Source organism: Homo sapiens, chromosome 2, assembly GCF_000001405.40.
Source record: "Homo sapiens chromosome 2, GRCh38.p14 Primary Assembly".
Classification (NCBI taxonomy): domain Eukaryota; kingdom Metazoa; phylum Chordata; class Mammalia; order Primates; family Hominidae; genus Homo; species Homo sapiens.
Window position 1 is genome coordinate 53,518,943 of NC_000002.12, and position 9,761 is coordinate 53,528,703.

The window sequence follows — 9,761 nt, forward strand, 5'->3', positions numbered from 1 at the left end:
GAGGCAAAAAGTTTTTTTTTTTTACTCAACCAAAATTCTATATATAATAGTCTAAATTGACAAGGACAATTTATAACAGTTCATTATACTTTTGTTTCTGATAGTAAAAAGGTAGAAATTATATAACTGTCCAAAATTAAATGAATGTTAAATTAACTATGACAGCCATACAACAGAATATTGTATAGCCATTACACTCATGTATTAAAAAAATAAAATTGTACAGAAAAATTTTTATCATAAATGTTAACTTAAAAAGAACAGAATACAAAATGTGTATTAGAGAAAGCGGGAGGGACAGGGAGTGAAGGAGGAGGGAGAGACAAAAGGAGGGAAGGAGGAAAAGAGATCAGAAGAGGCCGGACACCGTGGCTCACGCCTGTAATTCCAGCACTTTGGGAGGCTGAGGCGGGTGCATCACGAGGTCAGGAGTTCGAGACCAGCCTCGCAAAGATGGTGAAACACCGTCTCTACTAAAAATACAAAAATTCGCCAGGCGCAGTGGCAGGCGCCTGTAATCCCAGTTACTCAGGAGGCTGAGGAGGAGAATCGCTTGAACCTGGGAGGTGGAGGTTGCAGTGAGCTGGGATTGTGCCACTGCACTCTAGCCTGGGTGACAGAGCAAGACTCTGTCTCAAAAGACAAACAAAAAACGAGATCAGAAGAAATATATTAAAATGCTAATAGAATGTCAAAACTTTTCAATCTGTCCATTTCAAATATGTGCGGCTAACTGCATGTCAATTAGAACTCAATGAAGTTGTTAAAAAATGTTAACAGAGCATTTCTGTGTGTTGGAATCATATATGATTTTAATTTTGTTATTCTCTTTATTATCAACATACTCTAACAGGATTATTCATTACTTTAATAATCATGGGAAATTACATGGTAATTTTGAAAAGAGTTTATGAAAAGGAGCTCTGGGAAGTAATATTGGAAAAAAAATTCTGATTTAATTGCTATGGGGTGAGACTGCTGTATATATTCCCCAGGTGATTCTAACATGCAGTGGGGGGTAGGAACCACAGACGTACACAGAGCACCTGGCCCAGCAGCTGGTCTGTAGTTGCTATTTGATAAATGGTGGCCATCACCACTATCACCGTCATCACTGTTGTTGTTATGCTCTTCAGCATTACTGGCATATTTACATTCTCATATTAAGTGAGAAAAAATGCCTAGGTGGAGCAGATGGCTCAGACATTGGCAGATTCATTGGAAACATCAAGGAGTAATCAGGTGTTGGAGCTGGTGATATTTTCCCGTGACAGACTCTGTCAGAGGCTTTCATTTTCCCAGGCCTGTGGGATTAGTAATGCAGAGCACTTCCAGACTATTAGTGTATAAAACTACTATGCAAAAACTTTTTACTAAAATTAACGATGCCAGGCCAGCCATAAAGAAATTCATCTCCCAAGTGACAAGCTCAGCAGAGCCGCACCAACTTCTGTAACAGACGTCTAGACAATTTGACTTTGAAATACATACCCTAAGCCTGAACAGCCTGAAGTTTCCCAGCCAGTGCCCAGCCAAAGTTCAAAACAAGAGACCGAGCAGGAATAGAGGATTTGAAGATTATAAATAAACTTATTCATAGGGAAAGCAGAAAGTATAGCAAGCTAAAAATTGATTGCCCAGAGAGGATGACTCATCAATGAGACTATAAAAGACCATCTTTCAGTGATCACACAGCAAGACAGTTCATTGTCCTTAAACATTCACTGCCTGTCACACCAGGCCTCCCACCAGCAGGCTGCAAAGCCCAGAAATGGCCTCGTTAAGCATTGTAGACATCCCCACCCAGCAAAGAAACAATCCATTTCTCCTCGACCTCTTTGAAGCCCCACATACCAGTGAATATATCTGAAATCGGTGCCCTAGATTCCTAGTGTGTCAGCCAGTTGAAAGGATTTGGCCGGGGTCAGTCTGACCTGCCTGATAATTTTAAGACATTACACGTTTGATTAAGCATTTTAGGGCTAACGATCTCAACAGGTGAATGAGGTCAGGGCAAGAGCAACCTGAGACAGTCTCCAACTGCTGAGGCACTGGGAAAGCCACTTTTCTTGCTTTCATTGTATCTTTTGAAGGGTCAAAACAACACAGAACAATCCAGCCAGGTCATTTATATAACTCTGCTTTCCTGCTACCTGCTTCTGCAGCATAGTAGGTGGATTTTCAGACACAAAATTTACCTCTAAGGCCTTGAGATTTACTGCAATGACAAATCTCTAAATGGTATTGACATTCTAGGATATCATGAACAGTACATTACTATGAGGAAAATCAACAGAGATGCCACTTATCCGACAAACATCTCCCAAGCCCTGGCTATGAAAAAAATCACTGGAGTTGGGAGGTAAGTCAGACATCAATCCTTTCATTAAGGATAAAGGCCTGGTGAGAGGTGATAGGGTGAGCTATGAGCCTAAGGAGATGGTTAGAAATGTCAAGGTCACACAGGAAGCACAGGTAAGTGGCTAAACTGTTACGATAAGGGACAGGGGCCAGGCATGGTGGCTCATGCCTGTAATCCCAGCACTTTGGGAGGCAGAGGCGGGTGGATCACCTGAGGTCAGGAGTTCGAGACCAGCCTGGACAACATGGTGAAACCCTGTCTCTACTAAAAATCCAAAAATTAGCCAGGCATGGTGGCGGGTGCCTGTAATCCCAGGTACTCAGGAGGCTGAGGCAGGAAAATCGCTTGAACCCGGGGGGCGGAGGTTGCAGTTAGCCAAAATGGTGCCATTGCACTCCAGCCTGGACAACAAGAGCAAAACCCTGTCTCAAAAAAAAAAAAAGATAAGGGAGAGATGACTTCCATTTGGTAGCGTGGGTAAGAAGAGACTTTAAGCAGTTGATGGTATATGAGCTGGGCCTTCAAAGATTGATAAAATGGAGGTCATGCAGGGATATTGAGGCCTTGAACCACAAAGAGGGTAGGGTCATTTCAGAGAGCCTGTACCAGCATGAGACCAGCAAAGCTTACATGAGGATCAGAAGAATGCCTACTAAAAGCTAGTGAAGGATTATAAGTAAGTTGCCAAACTAGTCTGAAAACCACCAGGGAGGAGCCAAGTTTGGGAAAAAGTCACACAATGTATGTACAAGTGATAGCAAGCATCAGTGTCCAATACACCTTCTGAGATACTGGCTGGCAAGGGCTGGTAAAGAAGGAAAGGGGGTGGTCAAATATATTCCAGCAGACTATGATGTGCACATTTTAAATAATGATATACATATGTATTTATCAACATGGAAAGGGTCCTCAATATATTAAGCGGAAAATAAAGAAGGTTAAAGAATGTTTTATACAAAATGTCATCTATGTGTATAGCAAGATGAACCCTACTCCACTAACCCATGTATGCAATAAATACCTCTTTTCTTCACCAGTTGGATCTAACTTTGAGCCTCCAATTTGGCAGAAAGTTTTATGTCAATCAATAACAGAGTGTCTTTCACATCCCTACAGCTGCACGATAATTTCAGAACTTTAAATGGTACACACAAAACAAAGTATGACCTCTACTCTTCAGCCCATCGTCCTCTCCACCAATCGTTGTCCATGCCTGCATCCTACTTGAAGTTCACCTGTGCCAAGCATGTAACAGGAAAACCCAAAATAGCAGTAGCTTGAACAACATGGGGATCTATCTATCTCGTACAAAACAAGTCTGTAGGTGAGCAACCGAGAGCTGATATGACATTTTCTGAAAAGGACCTTCTTTTTCTACCCCACCACCCTAGAACATGGCTTTCACTCTCAAAGTCAGCTCATGCCCCAAGGGAGCTGCTTGAGCTTCACCATCATACCCTCATTGCAGATCAGAAGGAAGATGACAGGCAGAAGAAAATTCTTCCTTGAAGTCCCATACAAAATAACCTTTTCTTTATTACATGGCTGCAAGGGAGTCTGGGAATTATCATCTTTATCCCAAGTAGGCATGTGCCCATCTAACATGAGGTTCTGTTACTAAGAATAAAGGAGAAATTAGATGTAGAGGTAAACAAGTAGCTCTCCCTGACACAGATGTATAAGGAGAGAAGAGAAGAGGGGTGACAGCGGATCCTTGATGGTCATCAACATTTGAGAGATAAGCAACGGACAAGGAACTCATGGAGGGACTGAGAAGACGCCATTATAGAAAGAGAAGACATTGTGGAAGATAAGGTGTCAAGAAGGGCAAGGGGGAAGGTTTTTAAGCTAGGGGGATGGCTAATAGCATAGGACAAAGCCAGAAAAAAATGATCATTAGAGATAATTCAATTGCCCAAAGAAAATAGACAATTGGAAAGCAAAACTTCGGGGACTATTTCTTTTGTTATACTCTGTCTGGGTACTCAGGATCACCCTAAAATCAATAGTTACATACATTCCATCTAAGGAATAGATGGCCCAAAGGGGCTATTCTGCCATATTAACGTATCAGATGAGGCCTCCATGTCTACTTATGCTCACAGGCCATAGCCACACAATTCTGGGGCATTCTTCATGGCTTTGCCTTAATTGCTCTTTGAATTCTCATGGTTTCAGGAGCACAAACACACTGATCTTCATATAAGAGATGATTAGACCAGACTCAGGAAGAAAGCCAAGCACCTATTCATAGTGCAGCATAATAAGAAAAATAACTAACATTTATTAAAACATGTATTACATGCCAGGCACCGTGCTAACCTCTCAATGAATATTAGCTCTGTGTTTGTGTGTGCATGTGCACGTGTGCATGTGTGCCTATATAATTAACGTTTGTATGTAATTAATTCTCAAAATGTTCTATGAGGCATGCTTCCCCAGGCTCTTTGATCTTGGACTTCCCATGCCCCAGAACTGTGAGGGTTCTCTTGCTGGCTAGCAAATGCCTGTCTTCTGGTTACATCCACATGTGGCATTTCTTTGTTGCATGCACACAGAGTGAGATCCTGCACCTCCACCTTTTTTCATAAGGGCATTCATCCCATAATGAGGGGCCCACACTTATGATCTTATGGTCTTATCTAACCCTAATTGGCCCCCAAAAGAACCCACCTCCAAATACCATCATACTGGGGATTGAGGCTACAACATATGAATTTTAGAGCAACACAAACATTCGTTGTAAAGCAGGCAGATATTCTTATCTTCATTTTACAGGCGAGAAATCAGAGGATAAGAGAGGTTAAATGGTTTGCCCAGAAGCAGAGGCCGTTGATTCCCATGTCCATTGCTGCTTCTGCATACCCTGCTGCCTCCATAGCAACAATACATTTTAGCAAATTTCTCATTATTTTTAGGTACAACTCCTTCTTCCATACTCCAGTTTTATCTGTTACCCTCTGGGCTATGATTAGTTGGAAACCTAATTAGTGAGCTAGTGACAATGAGGGTTTACATAGAGCAGATCATTATTTTCTTCCCAGTGAAAAGCAATTCAGAGGGACTTGAAGGTCAGGGGTTCTCCAAATCCCCTGGATTCTTCAAGACATTTTGATGATATTATCTGGATGATAATAATAATGGCTAAACATCCATTGGACACTTATTTTCTACACATTTAACTTGTATTAATTCATTTAATTCCCACCTAATGACCTTGTAAGGTAGATATTATCATCCCTATTTTACAAGTAAGCAAAAGGGAAAACTGAGGTACAGAAAGGCTAAGGCTACTTTTGCAAAAACCAGTTAGTGAATACTAAAACTTAAATTTGAGCCCAAGCAGAATGACTCTGGAGGCTGGTTGTTAACCACTCTGGTGCAATAATTTCTTTAATTAAGAAGGAAAGATGGGAGAATGGGTTATTTGAAAGGGCAGCATGTCGGAGCCTATCACCCCTCAACAAATCTCCACTAAAGGATCAACTCCCGAAAATTCTTCTCAGGGGTTCTGCTTCTCTGAAAAGATGAGGGACCATAAGATCTTCACCTTCCCAAACATAATGTGCAGAAAACCTCCCAGGGCCTTTGACATCCAGGCTCTCAATAATGTAAATAAATGCAGGTGGCAGGGTCTAACTACCCAGTAACCCATGAACCATTAATTGGAGCTATTTTCAGCTTCTAGGGAGCAATTCCAACTGCAAGATTCTCTGTAATAAAGGTCTGATGAATCAGCTGGTATGGGAGAGGGGGCATATTTGAGAATTCAGTAGGTAAAAATAGCATTAAAATAATTCAAGCCGAGAAGAAACATGACTGATGAAGCAGTATGTCAGGACATCTTCAGTCAGTCAATCAACAGGCTTAACTGAGGTCCCAGCACTCCTGCCTAGAGGACAGATGTTAGTATTGAGAAGGGATATAAAAGGGACAAAAGAAACACATGGTCTCCTCCCTCCATGAACTAATGATCCACAATAAACCTCAGTGGTCCAGGGTAGTTGGCAGGAAAGATGTTCTGGTCAATAAAATATGCTAGTTAGTTTGGCATTGCCACATAGATCATTCAAGGATTGTTAATTTCCTAGAATTAGAATAAAATAATATAGATGCCATATTTTTTAAAGAATCAAAAACTGAATAAAAACATCAAGAAACTTGTGATCTTCTCTGGTATCTGTATCACCAGGCTTCCTTTTCAGATGTTCTCCCTTAATCCCATTCAACACTTCCCTTACCATCTCTTACTGTTGAGCAACAGCATCATCTTCTCTCCATGTCCAAGCCTGCCAAACCTCCTGACAGGAGACACTCTGCAGGTACTGAAATCTTGATACAGACAATGTGTTTTTACATTTAATGACGTTCAGACTCTTGAACAAAAGATATGCATTTCCATGGTGAATTTTGGTCATTTGTTAATTAAATAGGGAAGGTTTTGGGGAGCAGGCAGTACTAAGTTTTTCTTCATATATCTCAACATTGTTCAAAAGGTTAAACCAAAAAATTATAATACTTTTAAAATGAGTAGGAAGATTAGATCAAATAAAATTATACAGATAATCAAAAAGAAATACTTGTCCATTTTAGTTTCAACTTCCTCAATACCTAACTGCAAATAATGGAGCCAGGCTGGGTAGAGATCATTCCCTATTTTTATAACTCCAACGTCTAGCACAACACTTATAAACATTTGAGAAATATTTGTTAAGCTGAACTAAAGATGATAATTGTACAACTTATTCTACTTCTTATCTTTTGTTTTTAATTTAATGGAAGCAGACTTCTTAATGAGAACTGAAGGGCTCAGAAGCAAAGCAACAGTAAAAAAAGAAAATAGAAATCAAGGAATCTAAATAATCCCCAAATTGGGCAATCAGTCCCTGAGAAATAGAGAATTAACTATCATTCTTTTAACTATAATTACAGCCTTATTAAAACCAATAATCACTATTGAGCAAGAACATACAGAATATTATTTGAACTTGCCTTTTCATGAAGTCTCAACACATTGATTCCATATAGAAGAAAATGTTATTGGTGTTGATGGTATTAAAAATAAGTAATACTGAAATATTACAATCTTTTTTAGACGAAAATATATGCAAATTACGGTGGAGAAGGGCAGAAAAAAACTTCGAAATATGTAAAGTGCTCTCTACCTAAGAAAAGATTTAGATCAATTAACTTTTTCACTTTCAGCAAAAGATGGCAGATTGAACACATGCATTTAATTCTCTTCTTTCCCTTAAGCTCTATACAATTACAAAAAAGGACAATTTTAAGTTTGAGTACATTCAAAATAACAATGGGGAAGAAGAGAATACTTTTATAAATTGGAAGTCAGAAAATCAAGTAAGTTAGTTATATAGTTGACTAGGTCCTAAGTAAGCTGAATCTAAGTCAGTAGGAAAAGAACAAAACAAATCAATTTATACCACAAACTCCCAAAAGGCTCAGACAGTAGTAGTGCCACGTATCTTTGGATATAAGGGTGAAAGTGAGGATTAAAAATAGGATGCCTGGATGAAAAACTATTTCAGAGAAAATAAGGTGACACCCAAGATTTCTCTCCTTCACTCTATACAACTGGGTGATTGCCCTTCCCCAGCTCTGGTAGAGGACTAAAGTTTCATTCTCTTGAGAATGTAAAATAGAGGACTTCTGGACCAGGAGACACTATGCTCGCTGAGGGAAAGGGTACTGTACTAAAATAAGGGAAATTAGGTGAATATATACATACCAATGTTAAGGCCCTCAGACGTTTTCCTCTGCTTGGTTGCCAGAATGCTCCCAGCCAGATACATATACAAACATAAACACAGACACAGAGGACATAGGAAGACCTTTCTTCAGAAATCTGACTAGTCCAAGAGAACAGACCTAATAAAACTGATAACTGGTATCAGAGGCTTCCCACGTTAAGATCTGGGAGCCCAGCCAGATCTCCCTATACTGAGAGGCCAGAGCAGACAAGCTCCATCTGTTCATAGTTTCCAGTCTTCTCTACACCCTCACACTTAAGTATAAGCAGACAGTCAAGAATTAACAGATATTTGATGAATGCTCTGTATGAAAGACAAGAGACTACAATAAACAAAAAAGCAGGTTGGGGGCTATGAGGAAGAAGAGGAAAACTTCAAAAAATGTTATAATTAACTGTTAGAGAGATAAAAGAATATGTTGCCTCCATAAAACAAGAAAGGTATTGTTCCATTTTTAAAAGGAGCAATCAAAAACAAAAAAATAGCTCTTAGAAATTAAAAGTATAACAAAAATGAAAAATTCACAGACAGGATGGAAAGTAATTTTGAGGAAATGTTACAAAAGAGAGAAATACAACAGAGATGGAAAATAGGAAGAAAAATAAATAAAAATTTGTATATCAATCCAGGATTTTTAGCTTTCAAATAATAAGAATTCTAGAAAGGAGAGAGAAACAGAGGAGAGAAAATCAAAAACATAATTCAAGAAAATCCCTCATGACTAAAAGACAGAATTTTCTAGACTGAAAGTATCCAGTAAAAGGGATAAAAATTATCACACATCCAGACATATATCATCATGAAGATTCTGGAAGACAAAGAGAAAATACTACAAGTCTTCAGAGAAGGGAAAAGAAACAATTTTCATACACAAGATCAAAAATCAGGCTGGGCACAGTGGCTCACACCTGTAATCCTAGCACTTTGGGAAGCTGAGGCAGGCAGATTGCCTGAGCTCAGGAGTTCGAGACCAGCCTGGGCAACATGGTGAAATCCCAGTCTCTACTAAAATACCAAAAATTAGCCAGGCATGGTAGCATGTGCCTTTATTTCCAGCTACTCAAGAGGCTGAAGCATGAGAATCACTTGAACCCAGGAGGTGAAGGTTGCAGTGATCTAAGATTCTGCCACTGCACTCCAGTCTCGAAAACAGAGCAAGACTCTGTCTAAATAAATAAATAAATAAATAAATAAATAAAAATAAAATAATTCAGTGTGGCAGTGACTTCTTAACATCATCTCCTAGATGTAAAAGATAATGAAGGAATGCCATTAAAATAACGATGGAAAAAAAATTTCCAACCTAAAATTCTATACCCAGCCAAATTATCGATTCAGTGTGAAGACAGAATAAAGACATGTTCAGATATTCAACATTTCAAAATTTTTCATTCTCGCATACCTTTTCTCAGGAATGTACTGGAATATGAAATGAAATGAAAATGAAAGAGAAAAATAAGAATGGATGATAAACATAATCAAAGGAAAGCCAGAAGGCTGGGCACAGTGGCTCATGCCTGTAATCCCAGCACTTTGGGAGGGTGAGGCGGGCGGATCATGAGGTCAGGAGATCGAGACCATCCTGGCTAACACGGTGAAACCCCATCTCTACTAAAAATACAAAAAAATTA